This window comes from Homo sapiens, chromosome 13, assembly GCF_000001405.40.
Source record: "Homo sapiens chromosome 13, GRCh38.p14 Primary Assembly".
Classification (NCBI taxonomy): domain Eukaryota; kingdom Metazoa; phylum Chordata; class Mammalia; order Primates; family Hominidae; genus Homo; species Homo sapiens.
The window spans coordinates 21665336-21692599 of NC_000013.11; the positions used below are offsets into that span (position 1 = coordinate 21665336).

A 27264-nucleotide genomic window follows, 5' to 3' on the forward strand; every position below is an offset into this window, starting at 1 on the left:
AGTAGCTGGGACTACAGGTGTGTGCCACCACACCCAGCTAATTTTTTAATTTTTTTGTAGAGACATGGTCTTGCTATGTTGCCCAGGCTGGTCTCAAACTCCTGGCCTCAAGTAATCCTCATGCCTCTGCCTCCCAAAGTGTTGGGATTACAGGCATGAGCCATCGTGCCAGCCAGCTTTTTTTTTTTTTCGAGACAGAGTCTTGCTGTGCTGGAGTCCAGTGGCGCAATCTCAGCTCACTGCAAGCTCCACCTCCCAGGTTCATGCCATTCTTCTGCCTCAGCCTCTTGAGTGGCTGGGACTACAGGCGCCCGCCACCATGCCTGGCTAATTTTTTGTATTTTTAGTAGAGACGGGGTTTCACCGTGTTAGCCAGGATGGTTTCGATCTCCTGATCCGCCCGCCTCGGCCTCCCAAAGTGCTGGGATTACAGGCATGAGGCACCACACCTGGCCGCCAGCCAGCTTTTTATATATTAGAAAAATGAGTCCTTTATATGAGATGCATTTTTTCCATTTCATCATTTATCTTTTGAATTCATGTTTTTCTCCCACGCAGTTAAAAATTTGTGTGTGTGTGTGTGTGGTTGCATTTATCAATATTCTCTTTTAGGCATTTGGATTCTATGACACATTTAAAAAGGCCTTCACAATTCAGATCATAAGGAAATTCTTCCATTGTTTCCTTTAGGACTTGTTATAGTTTTATTTTTTACATTTAAAATATTTGCATTTGGGTTTTATCCTCATGTAAGTATGAAGAATAAACACTATTTGTGTTTTTTAGTTGTTTATTCTGTTGTTTCAAAACCGTTTACTCATAGTTCACTTTTTCCCATTAGTTGATTATCATATATAAAATTCTAATATGTATTTGGATCTATGTAATTTCTATTCTGTTATTGCTTTATCTGTTTATTCATAGGCTAATACAAATAATTCATATGACACTGTTCTAATTATTATAGCTTTAAAAAATATTTTAAAATATTGTATGGCTAGTTACCCCTTAATTTTTCTTGTTAAAAAAATTTCTTGTCAATTTTAATTTATTTTTCCATATTACCTGTAGCATCAGTGTATCTAATTTTAAACATCTTGGCATTTTTATTGTTATTGTGGTTAGATTAATTTAGGAAGGATTATATATTTATGAAATTGAATTTTTCTATCTAAGGACATGATATGCCTTTCAATTTGTTCAGGGCATCTTTTGTATTCCAAGAAATATCTTAAAATATTTCTTGGTCAGGCCGGGCATGGTGGCTCATGACTGTAATCCCAGAACTTTAGGAGGCCGAGGCGGGCGGATCACCTGAGGTTAGGAGTTCAAGACCAGCCTGGCCAACACGGCAAACCCCATCTCTACTAAAAATACAAAAATTAGCCAGGCTTGGTGGCACATGCCTGTAATCCTAGCTACTCGAGAGGCTGAGACAGGAGAATCACTTGAACCCGGGAGGCGGAGGTTGCAGTGAGCCAAAATCAGGCTACTGCACTCCAGCCTGGGTGACAAAGTGAGACTCTGTCTCAAACAAACAAACAAACAAACAAAAAAACCCAAAAAAACCACATATATATATGTATTTCTTGGTTGGGAGCAGTGGCTCATGCCTGTAATCCAAGCACTTTGGGAGGCCAAGGTGGGAGGATCTCTTGAGCCCAGGAGTTCGAGACCAGCCTAAGCAACATAGTGAGACATTGTCTCAAAAAAAAAAAAAAAATTTTTTTTTTCTTCATGTAGATCTTGTACATTTTTTTGTTGTTAATTCTGCTCCTGGGGATCTTATGTCTCCTTTCCTTCCTTCCTTCACTTTCCTTTCCTTTTTAAAAAACCTATTGTAACTGGGGTCTTTTCCTTCCTTCATTTTGTCTTCTAATTGGTTGTTGTTCATATACACTCAGTGTAACTGGTTGTTGATATATACAAGTATATATGCCCATCATTTATTTCTGTGTATTTTGAGAAGACATCCTATTAAACAATTTAAAAGTATATGCCTGTTATAATCGAGGGCAGTGTTACACAATGAGGGTCTGATGTCTATGAACTTGGCTCCACCATTTATTAGCACTGTGGCAATAGGCAGGCTACTTAATTTCTATAAGCCACAGTTTCCTCATCTATAATATGGGATAAAATAATACCTCATAGGACAGTTTTCAATATTAAGAAGATAAAGCACAAAAGCACTTAGCAGGGTGTTGGAAACACAGTAAGCAGTCAATAAATGGTGGCTACAAAGGTTCTATCCTCTTACCATGAAACTCAAACCTAGTTCCTGGGGTCACACTGGGAATAGACTTCAACCTTCCCAAACCATTCCCCTCCATCCCATGCTCCTTACAGCTCCTAAACAAAAGCCCATAAGTAGATTGAAGGGTTGTGGGGTGGGGAGGAGGAGAACGAAGGAAACAGATGGAAGGGCAGAGGCCCAGTGACACCTTTACTGCAGAGAAGGAATGAAATGACTCTGTACTGATTTGCATCTGGGGGTCCAGGGAAACTGAAGGAAGACAAGCTAATGAAGAAAGAGGGGAAGGTGGACTTTTTCCAAAGGGCCACTTCAAATTTGCAGAGGACTTTATAGCTGACAGGCCACTTTAACCTACATGAACCAGTCTTCACAGCAAAGAGCTGGGACCCGTGAGGAGAGGGCCCGTAGCCACACATGGAGTAGGCAGAGGGTCAGATGATGTGTTTCAGATCTGCAGACTCCCATTCCAGTGCTCATTCCTCTTCATAGCCCTCTTTTACTTCTCTTGTCATTTATTCCCATTTGGGCCTAAGTACTAAACTGACCACAGAAAAGACAGATGACAAAGATGATAGAAAACACAGGAAAGGGGAAGAAAGGAAAGTACGAGGAGTTAAAACGTTTTGAGAAGACAGAGCCTCAGGGAGCTTTGGGATTAAAATCAATAACAGTATTTGCTGAATACCCCCATGGGAGAAATCCATGGGGGAACTATATAAGGAATAGTGTAATGATAGCGACTATGTCTTGAGGGTCTATTGTGTGCTGCTTGTTTCGTGTGCATTTTTTTTTCCTTTTACTCCTAACAACAGTCTTTCGAGGCAGGAGTTATTAACCCAATTACACCACGTGTCTCTAGAAGGCAAGGCCTCAGTCTTCTTTGTGTACTAACATCTATGTACTCACTGAAGAAGACTTGTAAAACATACTCATAGTCCTGGACATAGGAGTTCATGGTTTTGCCAGAGCTGTGAAGGAACCTTGAGGATGTCAGCCCTAACGAGTGGGGTGAGTACAGGAAAAATGTGATGTGGCCAATGCAAGGAAGGACACTGTTTCTCTTACTACAATAAGAAAAACAACCCGACCAAATCAACCAACAAAACCAAGCAAGAGAAATCTGATGGTGAAGTGGCGAGGAAGCAGCAAAAGCTTCTTGCAGCTGGAGTTAGGGATGCGGATGAAAGGTGGATCAAGCCAACTGCAAGTGGGGGAGGCTGCTCAACCTGGGAAAGTGCTCCATCAGCTACTTCGCCCTCTCTTCCACTGCTGCAACGCTTTTTAAAGCGACAGTCACACGCTGCAGGATTCGGAAGCGGAAATGGTCTTTGCTCATTGGATGACAATCTAAATTCAGATCGAAAGAATGTGGTTGGAGACAGCTGGTGGAAATGGTCCCAGTCTTGTCTTCACTGGAAATGTCCAATGTCCACGTGCTGCTCGTTTCTCTTCTTATGAAGCGTCTCCCTGTCTCTCTGGGCCTGTCTCTGTTTCTTCCATCGCTTTTTTCCCCACTAAGTAACCATCCCGGCGCACTGTACCCAACTGGTCGAGGAACGCCCCTGCTGTACCCATCACTGCTGGCTGCCTCGGAGATTAATGCGAGCGACTCGGGTGGTTTATGAGAAGTGACACTTAATACCCAGCTTCTTGTATCTGCCGCCGAGCAGTTAACGTTAAAGCCCGCTCTGTACCACCGCGGATGTGACTGCTGTAAATACCACGGGGCAGGGCTCTCATGCTTCAGAAACACGTAAGCAAGACGCACCGAGCCAGCCCCGGACACCCAATGACCCTGGACTGCGGCAAAGGGGGGGTGGGAAAGGAAGAGGGGAGGACCACTCGCTCTTCTCTCCTTCCTCCTCGCCCGGGCCGGAGCACGCCTTCCTCCCCGGAGGGCAGGGGAAGGTCGCTCCAGGTCGCTGGCACCTCCAGCGCCCCCGAAATCTGCAAATTCATCGCTCCCTTTCGTCTTCAGGCGAAGCCCTCCCGTCCGGAGTAGGGCCAGCCCCAGTTATGCATCTCCAGCCTTTAGCTGACTACTAAGGCGGATCCGACTTCTCCCCCATAACCAGGTTTTGATTCGCTTCCCCACCGCAGGGGTTCAGTCTCTGCTTTCGACTTTGCTTCTCAGTTGCACGCCCCGCAGTGTGGAGCTGCGCTCAAGTCTCGGCAACTTTCACCATCTTGACCCGAGAGTCGGGCCGTTTCTAAGACAATGTGAACAAAGAGGAGCAGGGGGAGGGAAGGGGGGCCCCGCGGGAGGGCTGTGGGCGAGTGTGTGTGTGTGTGTGTGTGTGTGTGTGTGTGTGTGTGTGTTGGGGGGCGCCGCGCTCCGCGCCCGCCGCCACTGGGGATCCGGGCGCAGGCAGGCTGTCCCGGGCGCAGAGCGCGCCGCCTCCAGTCTCTCTGGCGGGCCCGGCCCGGCAGGGCCCCTGGCGGCCCCCGGAGGCGGGTTTCTTTGTCCCTGACTCCCGCTGGGCGCGAAGGCCGCCGGCGGCTAACAGAAACCCGAGCCCGCGCAACGGAGCTCAGGCTTCCACGTGCGGCCCCGCAGGGCAGAGCAGGAAGGAGCGGCTGCAGCCCCGGGGCGCCCCGCAAGCATCCAGTGCCCGGCCCTCCCAGCTCCGCGGCGGGCTTCGGACGGTGGAGTGAGACACCAGAACTCGCCTTTCGCTTCCCCGAGCCGATGCACGGCTTGGGATGGCGCCGCTCGTCCTAAGCAGCGTGGTTTGAGGGCGAGAAGACGCCTACTGGAGCGCTCCCCTCCACCCAGACTCCCGAAGACGCGCGCCCGAGTCGAAGTCGGGGACAGAGAAGGTTCTCTGGCGCCCCCCTGCCGACTGCTTTGCGGCCGCCGGGACCCGAGCAGCGGGGCGGGACCTAAACATAGCCCCAACCCAAAGATGCCCAGCAGAACGCTCCAAACAAAACAGAAACGGTGGCCGCATCTGCGTGTGTGTGTGTGTGTGTGTGTGTGACGGGGGAGAGGAGTTGATCTTACCTGAAACATAGTTTGCGCTTCTGTGTGTGTGGCCGAAGAATGGAAGAGAAACTGCCATGGCCATCCGAGTCCATTAAATCAACTCCCCTTCCCTCCGACTCTCTCAACTCAGTCATATTCTATAATACAACGCAAGGTTACAGAGCCCCAGTGAAAACTAGTTTCCCAGTTTCACTCTGACCCTCCATCAATGTAGCCAGCCAGCTAGATTGTAGGTTACCGGCTTCTATTCTGCAGGAGAACTTTGAGTCTCGGGAGACTCAGGGTTTCTTCCTCCCGCCTCTCGCAGTGCATCTTTCATTTGCTTTTCTTTGTAAAGCCAGGGCTCCTCGACTGCCTCCCAGGAAGTCCTGCGCTCTGGCGCGCCGCACCTCGCCTGCCGCAGAGCGGCGCGGGCAGTAAGCCGGGCGCTAGGACCGCGGGGAGCCCGGGCTGCGGCGGCGCTACCTTAAACCCAGCCCAATGCCGCTGCCTGCGCCACTCTGCGCGCCGGCGGGGGCTGCGCAGGAGGAGCGCTCCGCCCGGCTACAACGCTCCGCGAGCCGGCGCGGCAACACCTGTTCGCGGCAGCCTGGGCGGCACGCGAGCTCCCGGACGCGGCTCTCCTCGCTCGCCGCTCGCCACCCGTTCTAAGCCAATGGACATCTGCCGAGCCTCTGGAGAATCCTGGATACTAGCTTTGGACGCCTAAAGTTTCTTCTTCTTTTTGTTTTATTATTATTATCATTTTTTGGAGGGGGGACCGGGAGGGGAGATTTGTCGCCGCCACCAACGTGAGATTTTTTTTTCCCCTTGAAGGATTCATGCTGATGTCTGCAGAGTCGGTTAGAGAGTAAAAACAGCGCATGCCTTCCTGGAGTCAGGATCCGTAAATTCTGACGTAGCCCGTGCATCTTAAAAATCCCTATAATAACGCCTAGGCATTTAAGTTGCTATGGTCATTCTGATCTCAAACCAAATGGAGAAACTACGGATTTTTTTTCCTTATTACGGTCGGATGGGATGAAGACCTTCCTGCCTGCTAAGAGCTGGGGATCTATCTATAGAGATACATAGATATGTTTATCAATATGTCAGTGTGTGAGTATAAAGTGGTGGTTTCTTAGACTATCAGTGGTTTGACCTTGAACCTGTGCCAGTGAAACAGCAGATTACTTTTATTTATGCATTTAATGGATTGAAGAAAAGAACCTTTTTTTTCTCTCTCTCTCTGCAACTGCAGTAAGGGAGGGGAGTTGGATATACCTCGCCTAATATCTCCTGGGTTGACACCATCATTATTGTTTATTCTTGTGCTCCAAAAGCCGAGTCCTCTGATGGCTCCCTTAGGTGAAGTTGGGAACTATTTCGGTGTGCAGGATGCGGTACCGTTTGGGAATGTGCCCGTGTTGCCGGTGGACAGCCCGGTTTTGTTAAGTGACCACCTGGGTCAGTCCGAAGCAGGGGGGCTCCCCAGGGGACCCGCAGTCACGGACTTGGATCATTTAAAGGGGATTCTCAGGCGGAGGCAGCTATACTGCAGGACTGGATTTCACTTAGAAATCTTCCCCAATGGTACTATCCAGGGAACCAGGAAAGACCACAGCCGATTTGGTAGGTATACCATTAACCCTTTAGTGTCCATGAGATGACATGTTGAAATTATAACTACCAAGAAGGTGGTGGCCGGGTGGGGGACGTGGGAAGGGTTCTCCCCTCCTCCCCTCTTTCTCTGTATCTCTGTCTCTCTCTCTCTCTGTCTTGCCAGCTCCGAAAAAAAAATGCCTCCGGAATTGCAGATCTGCTGCTGGCACTGATGCAAGTATACACTGAAAGGCCCCCTACTTTTAATTTAAAGGGGGGCATAATTTATAAATATAATACAAGTTTCCAGTTCTTTTGCATCAGATACACGGGTTTAGGAAGTTTCTTTTGAATGGACTGATTGCACGAGTTTAAAGCTTTAATCATTAACTACTAAGAACTTAATGCAGTTTCTTGAAGGCAGTGGGTATCTTGTGCCCAAATTAAGGTTTTTTTCCTTTCCCCCTTTCCTCTAGTAAGTATACTACTTGAATTGTATATTAAGTGCATTGTTTATTCTCCCCTGTGAGGGTCTGAAAGCCCCATAGGCGAAGGTTGCTGACGGATTGTCCTGTTGGGAGGACTAAAGTCATATTTTAGGCTCCGTGAAAAGCAGGGGCAGAGGCTTGGGGGAAAATGACTTGGGAAGAGGCAGGGCGCTCAGGGGTTTTTGTCCTTCCAGCTATCAAGTGATAACCTCTGCTTTTAAATTTCCATAGTGTGCAGCCCTGTGTAGGTCTCCTGCGTGGCTCTCTGGTGTGAGTGTGTGCGCGCGTGCAAACGCTGCGAGCGAATTTTAAAGGGCATTCCGAGGATTTCATTTTTCAGCGGAGGGTATTTGTGACTCAGCACTGAGGGCTGCAGACTCGAGGGCTGGTGGCTCTGCCCACTTTATGCTTGCACACACGTGCTTGCCGGGGCACCCTGAGCCCAACGGCACGAAGTCAACTAACACAGTCCCAATTGGGTGGACTCTTGAGTTTTTTCCTTACTTAAAAAAAAAAAAATAAGCGCCAGTTTGGGCAACTAGACTGTTGGAAGGAGTTAACTTCTGAGTGAACCCACCTGACAACACTTAAACTAGGTCGTAAAAAACAAAGTCCTCTGGTGATTTTTCTTCCTCATGCTTTAGTGCCAGATGTTGAACACAATCTAAACTGTATGTTTAGCTTCGTGCGGCTGCGGATGATGCCAGAAGGTGAGGAGGACTTAGGCCTGGGCTGGGGATGGTCCCAGATCCACGAGGCCCAGGATTTGCTCCTCATGCTCACCCCTGAGCCTAAGCCCACAGCTGAGCCTAGTAGTGTGAAATTGCTCCGGCCGTCTCCACTCGCTGCTTAAAAAAAAGTTATAGCTCTTTGCTTTGCAATTATTCAGTTGAAATATAACTATCCCCTCCCCACCCCAGAAGTAAAGGTAGATTCTGGTTGTTGCAAAGAGAAGACTAAACTTTACTAAAAGTGCCGTTTCCATCTGGCCTCTTTAAGGGCTGCCACCCTGCCTAGCGTTCGATACCAGAACAACAGGCAGTGGGCGGCCCTGGGTGGGCGAGCGAGCGTGTCCGGGGCCGCGGCGGCCACCCGCAGGGTGTCGGGGCCGCGCCGACCGAAGCGAGCGGCGTGGGCGGCCGGCCTAGGTGTGCCAGGCGGCCGGAGCTCCAGCCCTCCCGCGCTCGCGGTCGGCAGGTGCCCGCTCGGCCGCCCGGGCCCCGCGGCGCACTTAGCGGCTGCCCGGCCGGCTCCGCGCGGTCCTAAACGCGCTCGCGTTCCGGCTCCCTTTCCGCCTGGCTCGGGTGCGCCCTTCAGTGCTGCGGGGACCACGGGGGCCGGGGGGCGGCAGGCAGGGGCTGACACACTTCTGGCCGCGTTTAGGGAATCCGGTTTTTCATTTTGGCCCAAGTTGAGCCCCTTCGCTTTCTCTTTGTGTGTGAGAGTGGGTCTGGCGGGGCTGACAGCCGCCGCCCTGGGCTGCACGGTGGTTTGCGGTGTGGGAACGGCTGGAGGCGCGCGCAGCGGCAGGAGAGTTGGTGGCGGGGACAGAGGACGGGCTGGAGGTCGGACCCCTGAGCTCCCCTGTCCCATTCCGTGTCCTTCTTCTGAAGCACGCAGCCGGGTTTTGGAGACTCGAAGGGCTCCGTGGTGCCCGGGAGGTGGGTCGGGGGCCCCTGGCCGGAGCCGCAGGGAAAGGAGTGGGGGTGGGGGGGACAAAGGGCCGCGGAGGCGGGCGGAGGGGGCGGCGTGCTATTGTTAACCGCTTTCCGAGAGCAGAGCTCGCGAGCTCGCCGATCGCGATCTGGCTTTCCCGCGCCCCCGCCTCCGCTCCGGCTTCACAACCGGGGGAGCCCGGGGTGTGCGCGGGAGCGCGGCGGGGGCGCACGGCTGCAGGGGCGCCGCGGCGGGCCCGAGCCGGTTTTATTGTGTGGATCAGCCGAGCCTGTCTTTGAGAGACCCTATTAGAACTCCGGTGCAGCACGACTGGGCCCTGGTGTGCAGAGATTATGGGATATTCTAGTTGGCGCTTCTTCACGCACCCCTTCCCTCCATGAGCATTTTTTTTTTTTGATGCAGTCACCTTTAGGATAGGACGTTTGCCACATGCAGTCGAGTCATTAGAAATCCCGTAACTCTGCCACTGGAGAGAGCGCGGATGCAAGGGCGGGGGCCACGCGGGAGGGGAGGGCAGGAGAGGCGCATTCTAGGGTGAGCGGATGAGGACAGCGGCGGGCTACAGTGGCTCAATAGAAACCGTTAAACAAAAAGCTAGACCCCTCACCCCTAGAGGTCAGAGAAAGGTGTTGTCAGGGAAGTGGCATCTCCACTCCTTAGACGCTCTCGGTACAGTGTTGCGGGGGATGTGGGGGCTGGGGGGGATGTGGGGGCTGGGGGGAGGGGCTAGGGGTAGTGTTGGATGGGAGGGGAGCGGAAGCCCCGGCCCAGGTTGGGGACTGGGGGCGCCGAGCCGCTAGCTAGCCCGTCGGCCTGGCGTCGGCCGAGGGGGAAGGGCGCTCTGGCGCTCCGCTGTGCCACTCACTCTGGCTGGGATGGAGTTGAGTGGGTGGCTGTGCGCAGTGGGGGTGGGGAAGCAGGGTGAGGCAGGAGGGTTATTTAAGTCTTTCATCCGGTTGCAGTGAGAAGCGGGCCCCCGGGGTGACAGCAGTGCCGCGGTCTCCCGCTGCTGCCGCTGCGGCAGGTCCCAATATTAGCAACCTCCGCAGAGCGGTGGTGCGTGTGCCGGGAGCCTCCTACCCTCGCCTTCCCAGCCCCGCCCGGAACGAGGCCGCGGCGGCGCTAGGACACCGCGGCTCGCGCGGGGAGGGCGGAGGGAGGGCACAGGCGCCGGGAGGGGGCGAGGGGGCTGCGGTGCCCCGGCTCTGGCACACCTGGCGCTCCCGCGCGCCGCCGCGGCCTCACCTTCGGCCCTCCTCCTCCTCCGGCAGCAGCCTCTCCTCCGCAGCCCGGCTCCCCTCTGGGGAGTTCGTCCTCACACTCAGTTTCTCTAGAAAAGAGTAACTGTAGGTGGGGGGTGCGGTGGGTTTACACCTTGATTAAAATAGAAGGTGCATTTTCTACCTGAAATCAAACAGCAGAAGGAAACGCGCTGGAAAAAGGATTTTTGCCGCCCCCATGCAGCCGCAGGTGACTGCAGCTGCTGGCAAGCTTGGCAGTGACACAGCAGCAGCAGTGCAGAGGACGTGGGGGTGGGGGAGTCTTACTGTTCCAGCAGGAGCTGCAGAGGTGACAACTTAGGTGGGACCTTGAAGGAGCCTTTTTTTTTTTTTTTCCCCCTCGGATTGGTGGTGTGGAGATAAGATTGAACAAGGAGAAAAGGAACTCGCAATTGTATCTCTGTGCAGTAGGCTGGGGGAGCGAGATGTCTTGTTTCATCTGTATATCTATATGCCTATATATAGAGCTCACTTTTAAAGCACTCCAGCCTTGCTAGATGGATAGAAATGTGAGCAGAAAATCATTTGGGGAAATAGTAATGTAAAATAATAAAAACATGAACGCTGGGCCTGATCTGCTATTTAACTTGTTTAGGAAACCTAAGTCTGTTCCCTTTTTGGCTGGGGTTAGGTAGCTCTGAAAGGCCGGTCTTCATCAGGACCTCAGATGAGCACCCAAACTGGGGCTTCCATTCAAATTGGGTCAGGTGAAGGTTTTACTAGAGGGGAGAAATATGATAGTATGATTTTTTTAAACAGGTGTTTAAAACTTATTTCCAGGGTTTTGAACTTTAATTCTGTTCTATGTATCTGACTCTTCAATGTCTCAGGAAAACACTGGGTGTTTAAGGAGATGGTTTTAGGATTGCTTCAGGTTCTGGAAAAATTAGTGGAGTTATAACTCCCATTCAGTTAGTCATTTCCTATATAAACTCTATGAGATGTGCTCAGGTTGCTACAGATCCGAACTTACCCCGGTGCAGGATCTGAGATGGTTGATCTGGCAGCCCTGGTTCGAGCTTCTCTGGGTGAGCAGGAAGCTCTGCAGGGAAGAGGCTTAATCATTAATTTTCTGCAGCCTCATGCCCTGCCCCTCTCGACAGTCTGCCTACATTTGTGTGGTCTGAAGAGTGCGGTTCTGTAATGCGTTGGGGGCTCTTAAGCCAGAGAACCATGTCATGAGGGCCAGAGTGGAGCAGCTCTGACTGCCTTCCTCTCCCACTGCCTTGCCTGGCCTTGGAGGTGAGGCCCAGCACAGATGGGCTCTAGGGGGCGGTGCCAGCTTTGGGATAATGGTCCATGTGAACAGAACTGGGGCAGCCCATCAGCTCTGGGGATAGTCACTAATAGTGAGTCTGGGGCAATGAGGAAGGTCCGGTGTGGTGATTTTCCTGAAATAGTCCAGGCATTGACCTGGTCTCTCATGGACCATGGATGATCTCACACCTCATCAAATCCAATGGGGTCCCAATGAGCATATCCTCATTTGGAACTGTTGACTGCTGTGGAAGAGAACAAAGAAATGACAGCAGTCATCGACCCTGTGCTTCCCATGTCACCCTATCACTACCCATTACTGTGGGCCGTCTGAGCTAAGGATGTCAAGGCTGTGTCTGCCCAAAATGAGCGACAGGCTGCCATGGTACACATGTGTGTGCCACAGTTCTAATTTTAGGCACAAACTCATCATTCCCTCCCTTCCTCCTCCCCTCTTCCTTCCTTCTTTTCTTTGCTCTTTCCTTCTTTCCCTTTCTCTCTCCTTGATCATTAAACATTCAGATGTCTCTGCACAGAAGGCTTCTCCTGGCTGTTATTGATCCAGCCCCCTCTGCTGCCCAGTCATGTGAGCAGATAACATGTGGAGTGGGTTGTACTCAGGGAGTGTAGTTGGAAGCACTTGCCTGGCACCAGCTCCACCCCAGAGAGAGCTGAATGGACCTGGTTGAGGTTATAGAATTTATTGTGGACAAGAGGGTACCAGGAATGATGAGGTTTCTGGTCTGGTTGGGGTGGGATCCTGTTGCGGGGTTGCTAGATCTTCCTGACCTTACAACAGTGGAATTCTTTGCATGGGGGAGAATGACTGTGACTCCTACGTTCAGTTGGTCTGCTTGTCCTTGCATCACTGAGGTGACCACATAAAAAGCTGGGCTGTTATTTTGACGTCTCTATTTTTAAGGAACTGCGGAGAAATGGGTGGTGGTTTGAGGTGATGAAATCTTTTCCACCTGGGGTCTGTAGGTAGTTCCTTCTCGCTTGGATAGCTTTTTGGAGACTTATCTCAGGTATTTATTTTCTTGGGAAGCCTCTGACTTGCCTTCAGAAACCCAGATGAGCTGCCCATCTTTGGACTGCCCATACCCTGAACAGCTCCCTCTCAACTGCATTTGCCACACTGTTGTTATATTTATCTGTTTACGTGTTCTTCTTCCCAACAGATGGTGAGCAAAAATTTGAGGGTAATAGGACCTAGGCTATATCCGGTTCATCTTTATATACTCAATAAATGGTATGGTGCTTGGCTTATAATAAACCCTCAATAATAGCTTCTTGAATGAAAAAGTGAACGAATATGAATTACAGCTGTCTTGTCAATGCCAGAAAAAGAAACGAGATAGATATCTTGATATCTTCATTTCTAAATTATATAGTAATACTTTCAGAACTCAGCTATATGAAAATGGTACAGAAATCACAGAAACATTAAAAAAGGTAAAACCAAATGTAAGATGTGCATAATAGTTAAGGAAATAGGTTTTGGAGTCCAGTTGCTTGGGGGCTAATTATTAACCTCCTTAAACCTCAATTTCCCCATTTGTACACTGGGGATTAGAATATTGTAATGCCTAGAGTTGTTCTGGGGATTAAATGAGAGACGGCCTCTCATTTGGCATAGACTAAATGCTCAAGAATTTTTACTATTACAATTATCATTGCTGCTGCTGTTATTTTTTTTTCTTGATGTTCTGCAGACCAGCCAGTGAAAAGGTTTTGTGAAATCACATGCACCTTATTCTTTGTTGGACCTGATGGGCAACACTGGCTAATATTCATTATTAGTCCTCAGCTACTCCGTGTGCAGGGAAAGCAGAAAGATCATCACATGCTCCCTTAGAAGCTGCAAATATTTTTTAGTTTTATGATTAAACCTTTCCTTATTGACCTGGTAAATTAAATCATTCAGACCTCAAAAGGGGCCAAATGTTTCCTGCATTTCATCTTACGACGAAAATTGAACATTAATTAACTCATTACATTAATTTCAGGGTATGTATGACCCACATTTTGGTGTGCTTTCAGGTTACTAAGAAGATATTCACATACATGTGACTGCTAATAATAATAAAATGCCACAATTTTAGTTATTTTGACTCAGAAGAATAGTACAATGAAATAAAATGCATCAAAAAGGGAGTGCATCTCATGAAAAATGAATCTCATGGAAATATTGCCTTATTTATATTCCCATTTGCTTTTGAAGTAGGGAAGGCTAGTAATAAACTGGCTTCTTTTGCATGTATTCTCCATCATAGAGTCATAGATTATCAGATTCAAAACACAATTTGTAATTTCACTTTTTTTGATATACTGTTTAACATCCTATTAAAATAATTACATTAAGCACAAGATAAATTTGTTACATTTTGTCCTTATAAAAGAATTAGGAATGCCCCTTTAGAAGAAATAGCTCTTCTTTTTTACATCACCTTGAAATAGTTTCCTCTTGAGTTAATCCTTTATTAGATTTATGCTGTTCATGTCTTCTTTTGATTGCAGTACCAGTGTATTTTGTGAGAGTTGCAGAATTAATTGTTGAAAAATTCATGTAAGTGCTTTTTTATTAGTCACATGAGACTGACTATAGCACATTGTTACCCTAAGTTTTTTTCTGAACTCTTAAATGTAAGTAAAATTTTTAATATTTGAAAGTATTTTTAAAACAAGAACTCAATATTTGATATGCATTAATGTAAGGTCTACATAAAATGTAGCACTTTAATTTACAATAAAAAGGAAAAAATGGCTGAGTACAAATAATATTAGCAGTGTCCAGACAGGCGCGGTAGCTCACGCCTGTAATCCCAGCACTTTGGGAAGCCGAGGCGGGTCGATCACGAGGTCAGGAGATTGAGACCATCCTGGCTAACACAGTGAAACCCCGTCTCTACTAAAAATACAAAAAAAAAAAAAAAAAAAAATTTAGCCCAGCGTGGTGGCTGTCCCAGCCTGAAGTCCCAGCTACTCAGGAGGCTGAGGCAGGAGAATGGTGTGAATCCGGGAGGCGGAGCTTGCAGTGAGCCAAGATCGCACCACTACACTCCAGCCTGGGCAACAGAGTAAGACTCCATCTCAAAAAAAAAAAAAAAAAAAAAATTAGCAGTGTCCTAAATATACTGTGGGCTAATCATCTTATAACCACACTGTAGTTACAGAAATTGAAACTGCTGTTGTGTGGCCATAAAATTCTGGATTTATGCCCAGCTTAGGTGTTATTCTTAGTGAGGTAAGCAAGGGGAAAGAAGGAAGTAAAATAAGATCATTGTGTCGATTTGATTTTGGAATACAGCATTCCATGCCTACTTTAAATCAAGAGCAGTATTTATCTCTTCAGAATATTATTATTTTAATTGCTTAACTATCTCTTTGAGGTTTAGATAAGTATAGCAAAAACCAATACTTTGTTTAAGCAAAAATAATTGGGATGTATGTGGGCAGTTTTAGTTTTCTAGATAGAGTTAAAAAAAGTTAACACAATAGAGAGCTGGATAATTTTCTGTATAAACCAATCAAGGCTTTAGTTAGCACTTCATTCTCTTATTTTGAGAGACTATTCTCTAAACAGAATACTTTTTTTTTTTTTTGCTACTTAAACAGGTATTTATTTCTCCCAGTTCTAAAGGCTGGGAAGTCCAAAAGCAAGATACTCACACACAGATACTTAACTTCATGTTTATAAAGTGGAAATAGGTTGTCTTTTCTAAAAAAGTATTCTGTTTAGCGAATGGTCTTATGTCTCTCAAAATAAGAGAATCACAGACAGATGCTTAACTTCATGTTTACAAAGTGGATGTAGGTTGTCTTTGTCTTAAATTCTACTCTTTGAAGTTAATTAGATTATGTACACACTGGTTTTTCTGTCCTATTACTTCTTAGCATATCTATGTAGATACTAACTTTTTAATTTTTAAAATGTTTTGTTTTTTGTGTAAGTCATGTTGGTAAGTATTTTTGTGTCATTATGATAAGATAGAATTTAGTTGAAAATCAATTCTTTTACACAGTGATTTTCAAAGAGAAGACACTTCTTTAACTAGCGTGGGGTTATCCAAGTGGGGAGCTGGGCTTAGTGTCCTCTCCAAAACCCCAGGGATGCTGGGACTCTAAGGACATGCTCTGTGATCTGATCTGTCCTCTGCCTTCTACCCTTTGTCTACAGGCATTCTGGAATTTATCAGTATAGCAGTGGGCCTGGTCAGCATTCGAGGCGTGGACAGTGGACTCTACCTCGGGATGAATGAGAAGGGGGAGCTGTATGGATCAGTAAGTACTGGAGGGACTTCATCCAGCTTTATCTCCATGTTTGATTTGAACAGCTGTCTTTTCTCTGGATTAAAAAGGGCCAGAAATGCAACTGAGTCTGTTTGGAAGGCGAGTGTAAGTTTTTACTTTTTGAGGAAAGCCATTTTATTTTTATTAATAGATAAACAGCTCTGCACCTTCACTAGACCAAAGTTGCTAAGAAAATGCTTTATTTATATGCCAAACCATCTTAATTATCAAGTAAATAAAAAAATTTACAAGTGTGAAAAATCCCATCTCTTTGTATTGAATGAGAGTTATTTTTGAAATGAATTGAAATGATCTCCTCCTAAGCTTTGCCAAGCATTGTAATTAAAACTAGAAATAGACCATGCAGTGAATCTAAACTCTCTCTGAGCTACATCCAAGATTTTCATTATGCAGAGAAGAAGGGAGATGGAAATTGTTGTCAGATATTTTTGTACGTGAATAAGAATATTACGATATTGTAATTATTTGCAAATGTTATGAATTTCTTTTTTTCCCACTCCACATCCCCACTAGGTTGTAAGGTCCTCATGGGAGACAGTGAAGAAGTATTTATTGTGCTCTGCCAGGTGCCAGACAGGCACTGTTATAGGTGCTGAGGTGTGAATGAGACAAAGTCTACTCTTCCACTCTGTGGCGGGGACTAACTTTCCATCATGGTATCACTTTACTCCTATTAATGCAGTACCTAAAACACAGTGTGTGGTACGCAGCAGGGACTTAATACATTTTTGCTGAATGTATAAGTATGAATAATATATACTAACTTGGGTTTTCAACTTTCAAACTTGTAATGAAATTAATCTGTAGCGTTTCTTTCTCTCTTTCTTTTCTTTTCTTTCTTTTTTTTTTTTTTGAGATAGGGTATTGCTGTTGCCCAGGCTAGAGTGCAGTGGTGTAATCATTGCTCACTGCAGCCTGGAACTCATGGGCTCAGAAGATCCTCCTGCCTCAGCCTCCTGTGTAGCTGGGACTATGGGTGTGCATCACCACACGTAGTTAACGAAAATTTTTTTTTTTTGTAGAGACAAGGTCACGCTATGTTGCTCAGGCTGGTCTTGAACTCCTGGCCTCAAGTGATCCTCTTGCCTTGGTCTCCCAAAGTAACTTATCGTTGCAATTACTGGTGGTCAAATGAGAATTTAATCCATGTTTTCTGAAATATGAGAACTTTAGTTTACAAAAAGTTGAAAATGAAAAGAAGCTTAGAATGAGGAAAGATTTGGAGTTCTCAATACACAGAAATGAAGGGCAAAACTTTTTCTAGATATAATTTTCTACCATTAGGCTTGTAAAAATATGTATATATAGATACACACATACATATATATAAAATGCTAAAATGTATTTGTAAGTATAGGATTGACTTTAGCTTTTTAAACACAGTGGATGGTTTAGGCAAAATTATTAACTCCCTACACAATTTTTGTGAATACCTTTAAGTGTGAAAAAAGATAAGATACAAGATAAAGGAAACTTACATTAAAAAAATAGAAAATGATCTTTTTTGTCACAACTTCAGTTTTTTTTTTTTTTTTTGCTTTTAGGTATGTAATGTGGGTTTGAGTGGGTCACAGTTGAACTCAATAAAATGCTTTTTTTGTGTGTGTAGAAGAGAAGTTCTGACTTTTAGTGTGTAGATGGAACTTTATCACAGTGGCCTCCAAATTTTTTGATCACGTATCCCCACCAAAAAAATTTTTTTTGAATATGCATCTCAACATATGCATTTCAAATAAATATACTTAATTTGAGTATGCATCTCAAATATTAAATTATTTTAAAATTGTTTATCTCAAAGTATAGTTTATATATGTTATTTTATAAGAGATACAGCAAAGTAAACAATTTTAAAGAATAGAATGAATGAGGAAACCTAAATAGGGCCCTACTATTTGTTCCCCACTCCAAGGATCACCTTGCACACCCCTCTGAATTTTTCCCAGTTGAGAGCTGACCAGTCTTTCAGATGAAATCACCAGCATGATTCAGACTCCTGTGGTTTATTGGTTGACAAGGAGAGCATGTCTAATTTTGTGTTCAGCAAAGCTGCTGGTAGGATTGTTGCCCAGGCTGTCTCATCTCTCCTTCTGGATGATTTAAATGGTTTCTTACTCATGCCTTCCTGCCTGGCACACCCCAGTTCCTAGCACAGTGCCTGGGGCAGCATGAGAGGGACATTGAGTGTAGACCCACGGAGTGCCAGTGACAATACTGTGGGACACGGCAGCCAGGTAGACAGCTGGAGAGCACCATCTTTCCCCTTTTCTGGGAAGCCCAGCTGTCTTCTTAGGTTTTCTGTGACTCCTGGCTGCCTCACCTTGGGCTTTTTGAGCACACACACAGTGCGTGGGCAGGAATAGACTTGTCACCACTGCCATACAGCTGCACATCTTGCCGACAGTCCAGTCATGGAGTCCCAGTCAGGCAAAGGGCAATGAAAGAAAGGGTAAAATGGCTCTTCTTCCGTGTGTGCTTGAGAAGCACACATCTTCTCTCGTGAAGAGTGCCCAGGCTTGGAAACTGCTCCAAGGAAGGGTGGCTGTGAGAGACACTTTTCCGTATTATGCTTTCCTTGCGGAAACGTCTTCAGCTGCTTCCTTGCCTTCCTAGTCTTCTGTCTCCAATCCATTCTCCACACTGATGGCAGAAGTACCTTCAAAACCCAGACAGGAGTGTCACTTGTGCACAGAGATCCCTTCAAATTCTTGCTTTTGAAGGATACAGCCCACGTTCTTTAATGTGGCACCCAATGCTTAGGATGAACCGCTGCCTGGATCTGCTTTGCCAGGAGCACCCTGTGTGCCTCTTTGCCTATGCAACTCGAGTCTGTCTATTTGCTGTTTTCCAAACACATCATGCAGTCTGATTTATACTTGTGGCCAAGTGAATTTCTCTCTCAGATGCCTTTCTCTTGCCTTCTCCACCTGAAGAAGCAGGACTCTTTATTTAAATTCAATGGAAATATTACTTCTTCTGCAAAACCTTCATTACACCCCCAGTTCTAATCCTATTTATTCTAGTTAGCATTTCTTATGTTTTCCTTTGGGCCCTAGGAATACTTTGTTCCCATTATTACATAAGTCACAGTACAGTTTACAGTGTGGTCAATTGTATTTCTCTGTTCCCTAATGTATCTAAAGGGCATGGACCACATTCTTTTTTTTTTTGGTTTCCTAACACACAGCTATGGCTCTTGTACATAGTAGGTGCTCGATGAACGCTCATTGGGTTGAACTGATTTAAAAATTATGATTATTTTTGTCCCGCATTGGATGCATAGATGTGGCCTCACAGTATCTCGCTTGTATGGCTGCTGTGTACTTAGGTCTCCAGTTGAAGGAGGAATCACCATCTTCCATTTCTATGCATAATTGGCCTGTGTGTGCCTGTGTTGTCTCTGGTGTGTGTGGCCTGAGGGGGAATGAGGCTGAAGCTGGAGGAAAGATAATGTAGTGTCAAGGGCATGGTTAACTCTCATTCTGTATCTGCTACGAAGTAGGCACCAGGCCCTCTTTCTCCTCTTCTGTAAGATGAAGAGCTCGAGTTAGACATCTGGAATGTTTCTTCCCAGTCTGGATGGATCCCAAGAATTCTGTAGTTTGAATTTCTCAGCCTTCTTTCTCAAGTCTTCTCTGTGTGACCCATGATGTTCTCTGTGCACACAAAATGTTTGTGCAGTGAGACCTTTTTGTCTCTTTTGTAAGGAGCTGGGAGGGAGGCTCCTGGGCAGCAGGTTATTTCCCTTTGGTCTGTTCCTCCAGCAGGTGAGGGGGAAGGTGAGAGTGAAAGTCTTGTTCCTCAGGGGCTGGAATCTCATATTTCCCACTGGGTTTGTGGTTATCATGCCTCGTGTGGCAGTGAGAATGAGGAGTGACTAAAATATCTCATTTTCATTGTGATGAGATTGAGAGAAGGAAAGAAACGGGCAATGGTTGTGTTACTAAATACACTAACATTTGGAGCCTCCAGGAATCTTTATCTGTGTGAAGTTGCATGAAGCTCAGTAAACTAAATTGGAGATTTTTTTTTTCTAAACGGTTAGAAACTGATCTCATTACGAAAGAAGGTAAATAGGAGATTTGGGGAAATCACTTTCGTAAAGTAAATGTGTAAATGTGAAATTCATTTAAAGCGTATTTTCCTATTTTGGGATTAATTTTCTCTTTTCATCTATGTAGTTTTTGTTTGCTTGTTTTTGTCTTCAGGTTTACCTTGAGAGTAGATCTAAAAGGTCAGAGGTAAATGGGTTAATACTTCTTCAGAAAAATATACAGGATTCTGATATCCTATTAGAATGTGGAAATAAGAAAAACTATATTGCTAATGAGTATAACGATTTGATTAGAAGGAGAATATGAATAATTTTAACTTGGGGATGGTGTTTGATTATTGTATTCACGTGATAATTTGTCCATGTATCCGTTCATTCATTTGCTTATTTATTTCCTATTTATAGCTTTGACTCATCCAGCACTGTGATGAGTGCAAAGCAATGAAACAGATAGCTATACTTGTAAATAATTCAGGGCAGTGTGAAATTTCCCATAGTAGAGGAATGGACAGATGTTTTGGCATCCCAGAGGAGTGTTTAAATAACTGCTTGGGGAGGTTGAGCGGTAGCATTTAAAATGGGTCTTGAGGGATAAATAGGAGCCTCAGAAAAGGAAGGGCAGGCAGGTTAGGTCACGTGACCCTTCAAATGTCACAATTAAAATACGCTGCCAGGTTGAAATTTCGAGAGGATGTTAGATTACACACTTGGCCAGGGGATTAGAGTATTCATTAACATTGGTCACTTTTGTTCTTATCAGAAAGTTTAGAGGCATGGCTCTGATAATTACTTTTAGAGTCTTAATCTAAACTGTTTGAGTATTATAAAAATACTTAAAGAAGTTTTTTGATGGAGTCTTACTCTGTCACCCAGGCTGGAGTATAGTGGCATGATCTCAGCTCACTGCATCCTCCTGCCTCAGCCTCCCGAGTAGCGGGGATTACAGTGCGTGCCACCAAGCCTGGCTAATTTTTGTGTTTTTAGTAGAGATGGGGTTTCACCATGTTGACCGGGCTGATCTTGAATTCCTGACATCAAGTGATCTGCCAGCCTCACCCTTCCAAAGTGTTGGGATTACAGGCGTGAGCCCCCATGCTTGGCTTTCAAGATACTTTAAAACATCAAGAATAATTGACCATAATAAATGCCTCCTTAAAAAAGAATGCCATGAAAAAATTAATCTCCTTCAAGAAGCTTGCATTTAACAAAAGGAATTGACCTTTTCTTTAAAAAACGTAGCTGGTACAGGTACTAACATTGTAAGGATGTTGGAACATACAGCATGGAGTCTGCAAAAGTGACACTGGAGGATGGCGCAGAGATGGGGGAGGTGCTAACATTTCTCGTTTGTATCCCTTTGTAGCACTTACATTATTTTGCCCAGAATTGTAATTCCTGCTGGTCTCTTTGTTAGATGAAATTTTTTGGAGTCAGAGTCTTTGGCTTTATAATTTTTCTATTTCTTGAAGACCAGGCAGGGCAATTTATGTGCAGTTGGCACATGGTAAATGTTTGTTGACCCAATTATTCACTCCGTCATGAACACGCACATGCAGTGTCTACTGTACATGAGCATCGAATAGTGATAGCACTGATACAGGGTTGTGAACTTGTAGAGTCAGGGTGTTTCCACAGGAATTAGTCAGCTACTGAAACTGAAAATGAGAGAGGTTAAGTGACTTGCTCAAAGGCCCAAAACTTGTAGATGCAGAGTGAGGACCAGCCTCATGCTGACTGCCTCAGACCAGTACTTTGCAGCCGTTCCTAGCCTCATCCTGACAGGTGCTTCTTAAAACAGGTGTTTACTAGTAGGTTTGGTTATGTTTCCAAGGACACAACAGGGCCCTGGTTTATATGGCTCCATGTAATCAGTAACCAAGGTATGATGGGTTTCAACTCTGTTTCCAAAGCACAGAAAGTTTCCTTTAGTAAATACCTCATTTGGGGCAGTTTTTTCTGCTGGGCAGACACACATGAGTCAAAGAAGTTTCTTGCATGGTGTTCCATATTGTGGGGCAGGTGGCAGGAGCCCTGTAGGTCCCTCTGTCCCAGAATTGAGAGACATATCCACCTCTTTAAAAGGAGACAATGAAGTACCTCAGATCCTTAAAATCCTATATCGACTTAGGTTATTTTTATTATGTTATTTGAATATGTGCACACATTAAACTAGATAACTAGATATAAATTCCTTATACTTCTTTGACAACTATAATTCAAAACATTTATATGCCAAAATTCAAGTTAAACGGCAAGATCAGTAAAATGCACACTGACACAGTGGATTTCATATGAAGGAAGATGCTCCCTGACTGAGACGAAGATGCTGCCTCACTGTAAATCCAGCCTTGGCGCTTGGTGCAGCTTCCTGTGAGCTCAGGGTGCCTGTTCTGCAGAGCACCTCAGGATGACTTGTTCCCCTGCCCCACTTCTTCCTATGTGAGTTCCTGGGACAACAAATGATCTCATCTGATCTTCACTTATCTCAGACACACCACCGATGTACTCAGTGTGCCTTTTCTTTTTCCTGTTGGTCCTGATGGTGAAAGTATTGTAGCACTGTGTACCACTGACAATAATTTTAAACCCCAGTCCATTCTTGGGGGACAGTTATGTGGTTGTGGGATGGTCATCTGTGGGCTCCTGGATACCCTTAAAACAATTCTAGTACTTTTTCATTGACCTGGAAAGGCAAAGTAAAGACATTCTTGGAGGGAACTTGTGGCCCCGCAGATTATGCCCTTTGCCTTCTAGGTATCTGCGGTGCCAGTGTGGGAGAACACTGCATAGGCACGAAGCTCTGGGCAGGGTCAGAGTTGGGGACGGAGGCCAACCCATGCAGTTCATCAGAGACCCCCTTGTCTCCGTCAGGTGCTCTGCAGGAGCAATTTGGAGCCACTTTTGAACAAGGAGAATGACCTTATGTGTTCGTGGAACAGGATACCACACCACATGGCAAGGACCACTCAGCTTCTGATTTGTCACTGTAGTGGTTCAGTTCCGATTGCTTTGATGGGAGACGTTCAGACACGTCCTGTACAAAGAATGCAGTTCACACAAAGGAGATGAATAGGTTCATTTCCTTAGTAACCTACCTGATAACAGGCATGCCCTGGAGATGGGTGGTTTTCAACGGATATTTTGAGTAATTGAGCATTGCCTTATGCTGTGTTTCATATGTGCGTGACCAATTTTCAAAGAATTGAATAATAATTCTTAGACGATATGGAGGGCAGCTTCTGCTGTATGACTGAGTCCATACATCGTCCTGGTTTTAGAGACGAGGAGGTGAGATTTTAGTGGCTTAGTGACTTGTTGAAGGTCACATAGATGATGACAAGTCAGGATTTGAATGTAGGTAAATTAGTAAATCTTGTCTGATACATATGCATGTTAAGAGTGGCCATCCATTTTTGTAAATAAAAATATATTTACTAGAATTAATCACATGAATATTTTTAACTGGAATTAACCATATAGTGGGGCAAGGTTTTAATATTTCTTACACAGATGTGATTTTGGAGGATTTTTTTTTTTTTTTTCCAGTAGCCTAGTTTTAACTTAGTGGTTCATTTGTTTCCTTAGCATCTATACTGCTGGCCATTAGTTAGTGGACAATCGTCTTTTAAAATAATGTATCTATTTGATTTTAGTTACAGTGTTGAGCATGGTAGCTACATTTACTAATTGTCTAAGGCATACTTAAAACATCCCAAGCTAGTATAGAACACAGGTCTGGAGATTTTCCAGGTTTGGGAAAGGATTATTTTAAATTATTAGTTGCTCAGCAGAGACATTTCCCGTCTGGGATGCGAATTTGGAGGAATATTGTCGTGGGTTCCCAGGAACATGCTCAGGAATCCCGGAGCAGAGTTTTCCTAAGAACAGGTGCAGCTTTCGCACATGAGCCCAACGCCCCTCTTTCCCACGCTGGATTTTACTCTCTTCCCTGCTTCACACTGCTGCATTTTCTGAAGTGCCCCTGCCTGGGTCCCTGCCTGAGAAGCCTGATAAGAGAGCCTGAGAGAGTAGTTTTGGGAAGCCCTGAGTCAGATGCCTATTAAAGCTGCCCCATTTTGTAAAGCAGAGCTCTGCGAAGGCAGGGACTTGGTGACTGTGCTTCCCATGGTCCTGCCAGTGCTTAAAACCGAGTCTTGCATGCACTTGGCACCTAATGAATGTTGAACGAATGAATGTATTGTCAGTGGGATCCCAAATCATCTTTTTTTTTTTTCTTACAAAAAATGGACTAGGCAGACCCTAGTTGATAAGTACTTGATTCTTGAATAGGTATTTGAGAGCTGGAGGAGTTGACATGTAGACCTGTGGTTCCTGATTTTGAGTATAAGGTTCCTTTTTTGATAAAAAGTGTTAGGGAGCCCCACATGCTAGTAATTGCACTTCTAAGTGTCTTATGATTGAAAGAATGCATTATGACAGCAATTCCTCTGAATTCATTAACACTTTCAAATGAATTCCTCACTGAGCAGTCTGTGTGAGGGTCTTTCTTGTCTGTGGCTTCCTGACAGTGCTGACTCCTGCTTCCCCTCATCCTGAGCCTTGAGGCACACTGGAGAAGTCTGATCAGCTTGTAAGTTAGGGTCTGCAAGGATAACCAGGTGACAGTGGCTTCAGGGACAACAGAGGCCCAAGCCCAGCGTCTCCAAGCTCTTCCTGCTTCTTCCACCTCCTGGCCTCCTAAATCCTGGCATTCCTTCCTCTCACCTCTCCCACATCACCCCTGTTTTCAGAATGGATTGTTCATTGCATGGAACCCTGGAGAACCCCTCAACCAGAGCCTCAGTGTCATGGTCAGTTCCTGAATTGCAGAGCTTCCTACTTCTCTCCAGGGTAGCGTAGTCTCTCTGGGTTCCCTGAGTTAATACTGCTGCACAGCCTGATTCAGAATAGGGCTCAAATTGGAAGCTCTCTGTAATCAGTCACACATTCGCACACTCGCTCACACACTCACACACTCTTCCATCCACACATAACACGCTTACATGCTCATGTACACATTAACTCTTCTGTTCACACACTCCCATTCACACAAGTACTCCCATGCTTACACACTCATTTGCTCACACACATTCTTCTTTTCATAGTTCACTCACACACACTGACTTGCTCACTCTTCCATTCACAGACATACCCACGTGCTTATACACACACTCACTTGCTCACACCCACTCACACACTAGCATTCACCTACAACACACACACCCTCATACTCATGCACTACCTCACAACCCCTTGTTTCTTGTTTTCTTTCCCAAAGTCAACAAGTCTTATTGATTACCTACTAATAATGCATGCTGGGTGCTTTGTAGGTGCTGGAAATACGTTGATCCTCATTGTTCACAGATTCTGGTTTTTGTGAATTCGCCTACTTACTAAAACTTGCTTGTAACCCCCAAATCAATATTTGTCTGACTTTCATGGTTATTTGTGGTCGTGGGCAAAAAATGTGAGTAGCATCCATGCACACGCTCCCAGCTGAGGTTGAAGAAGATGCTGTTCTTGTCTCAGCTCTGCTGGAAGCAAGGGTCCTCTTTGGGATCTGTTTCGTGCCATGTGCCATGTTTTGTGCTTTTTATTGGTGATTTTGCTGTAGAAAACATCCTCAGTGTAATACTGAAGTGCGGTCAACTGTTGCTAAGCGCAAGAAGGCTGTAATGCGGCTTAAGGAGCAAATATGTGTGTTAGAGAAGCCGCTGGTTGTGAGTTTGATGTTAATTAATCAGCAACAGATATTAAATGAGGTGTCATTCAACAGAAACACACATAAAACAAGGTTACGTATCTGTTGGCTGACAAAAATCTTATGACCAGAGGCTCACAGGAACCCAACCCTGTATTTCCCCCGGGAGCAATGGTTCAGTATTCTAGGAGACTTTATAGAACTTAACTACCTCAAATAAGGAGAATCAGCTGTACCTACAAATGCAAATGTACTTCCTCATGTGGGTGATCTTAGAGCTGATTCAGGAAGAACTTGCAACTTCATTGAGGGAGTCAGACATGTAAACCAAGAATTATAATTTGGTGTGATGAATGTTAGAATTATAAACAAAAGGGGCTTGGAGAGCTTGCAGGAGGGAGCTTAATTCTAGGAGTAGGAGAGAATGTCAGGATTATTCACAGAGGAGATGGAGAAAAACAGGCAGGTGTTCTCAGTAGAGAAACCTTTTCAGCCAAGAAGGCAACTTTGCTGCAGGGTTTAGAAACATGGAGGCTTCTGGATGTCTCCGGATTCTGTGGTCTTTCCTCTGTCCCTGCCTCATCTGCCTCATCTTGTCTCTGCTTCTGTTTATCCTAGTTGCTGCCAGAGGCATCTTTGCTGACATGTGGAGAGTCCTCCCCTGTCAGCATCAGCAGCCCCTCCGGGGCTGTCGTTCAGCGTCCTGGCCCGAGAGATGCCCTCCATCCTTACAAAGTGGAGTGGGAACCACTGTCCTGGGCCAGCTTTGGCAGTGGCCTGGTCGCCTCACCCCTCCCGACTCCCCCTCACCAGGGACTGACTTGAACTTGGTCAGAAACATCATTTGTCAGCCGGCTGGCCTGGTGTGCCTCAGTGGCACTGTGACAACCGGCTGAGAAAAATGTCTGCATCCCTGACACCCCCGTTGCAGAGGGCTTCCCCCGAGGACTAAAAGGTTATGGTGCTAAGTGTGAGAGCCACACTCAGAGCTGTCTTCTTCATGCTGTCTCTAAATGCTTACGATCCTGACATTAATTGATTCCCTTTTAATCTTTTTTTTTTTTTTGTAATTCTTCATTGAAATCTCTGTTGAAGTTTGCTGCTTCTTTGTAATGAAGTGCCCAAAGCTTAAATGCAGTATTCTAAGAACAGACTTGCCAAGGTCGTACCAAAGACATCCCTGTCCCCATGGTACATAGCGTGATTGTTTTGCTGTAGCCCTGAATTATTTTTGCCTATTTAGCTGCCATGTTGCATTGTGTGTTCACACATAATCAGCTGTCCGCTCTCAGCTTTAGGTTCTCCTGCTCTATTCCTTTCTTTCTCCCTCCCCACTTTGCTTCCTCCCTTCCTTTTCCCCCCTTCTTTCGTTTTCCATGTGAATTTCTGTGTTTCAGCTATTTTTCTTCTGGTTGTGTTGACTTGGCTTGTATTCTTTTTCCTTTTCTCTCTTTTTCAAGCTGATTTTCATTTTGCTGCGTTTTGATGGGAGACTCTAGTCTATACTTGCATGCTGACCAGTTGCAACTTGGAGATGAAGCACGGTTAGTGGAAGCACAGGCCCCGGGATCGCCACTTTGTCACTCACTGGCCCTGCAGCCATGGGCCGTCTTCTCACTCTTTCTGAGCTGAGGCTATAGAACGGGCTAACGATAGACACTTCATAGCTGGG

The 27264-nt window shown here is 45.7% G+C and overlaps 1 protein-coding gene across 2 annotated transcripts in view, besides 7 other annotated features; it reads left to right on the forward strand.

Moving 5' to 3' along the window:
- Nucleotides 4556-4815: a silencer, noted in NCBI's record as "silent region_5165". NCBI's record gives its function as "represses an Ori minimal core promoter by ATAC-STARR-seq in GM12878 lymphoblastoid cells {active_cell/tissue: GM12878}" and the evidence as "EXISTENCE:reporter gene assay evidence [ECO:0000049][PMID:35858748]".
- Nucleotides 5596-5645: a silencer, noted in NCBI's record as "silent region_5166". NCBI's record gives its function as "represses an Ori minimal core promoter by ATAC-STARR-seq in GM12878 lymphoblastoid cells {active_cell/tissue: GM12878}" and the evidence as "EXISTENCE:reporter gene assay evidence [ECO:0000049][PMID:35858748]".
- Nucleotides 5666-5725: a silencer, noted in NCBI's record as "silent region_5167". NCBI's record gives its function as "represses an Ori minimal core promoter by ATAC-STARR-seq in GM12878 lymphoblastoid cells {active_cell/tissue: GM12878}" and the evidence as "EXISTENCE:reporter gene assay evidence [ECO:0000049][PMID:35858748]".
- FGF9 (fibroblast growth factor 9) overlaps nt 5738-27264 on the forward strand; it is a 33426-nt gene continuing 11899 nt past the window's right edge. Inside the window, exons 1-2 of one of the 2 annotated variants that reach the window (NM_002010.3) lie at nt 5738-6854; nt 15707-15810. In NM_002010.3, the coding sequence (NP_002001.1) occupies nt 6578-6854; nt 15707-15810 (381 nt within the window). In that variant the 5' untranslated portion in view covers nt 5738-6577. Of the gene's footprint in view, nt 6855-9222; nt 9659-15706; nt 15811-27264 lie in introns of those variants that run through there. The other variant, XM_011534996.3, reaches the window with a different exon arrangement.
- Nucleotides 8332-8551: a silencer, noted in NCBI's record as "silent region_5168". NCBI's record gives its function as "represses an Ori minimal core promoter by ATAC-STARR-seq in GM12878 lymphoblastoid cells {active_cell/tissue: GM12878}" and the evidence as "EXISTENCE:reporter gene assay evidence [ECO:0000049][PMID:35858748]".
- Nucleotides 8572-8701: a silencer, noted in NCBI's record as "silent region_5169". NCBI's record gives its function as "represses an Ori minimal core promoter by ATAC-STARR-seq in GM12878 lymphoblastoid cells {active_cell/tissue: GM12878}" and the evidence as "EXISTENCE:reporter gene assay evidence [ECO:0000049][PMID:35858748]".
- Nucleotides 10112-10161: a silencer, noted in NCBI's record as "silent region_5170". NCBI's record gives its function as "represses an Ori minimal core promoter by ATAC-STARR-seq in GM12878 lymphoblastoid cells {active_cell/tissue: GM12878}" and the evidence as "EXISTENCE:reporter gene assay evidence [ECO:0000049][PMID:35858748]".
- Nucleotides 21687-21806: an enhancer, noted in NCBI's record as "active region_7441". NCBI's record gives its function as "activates an Ori minimal core promoter by ATAC-STARR-seq in GM12878 lymphoblastoid cells {active_cell/tissue: GM12878}" and the evidence as "EXISTENCE:reporter gene assay evidence [ECO:0000049][PMID:35858748]".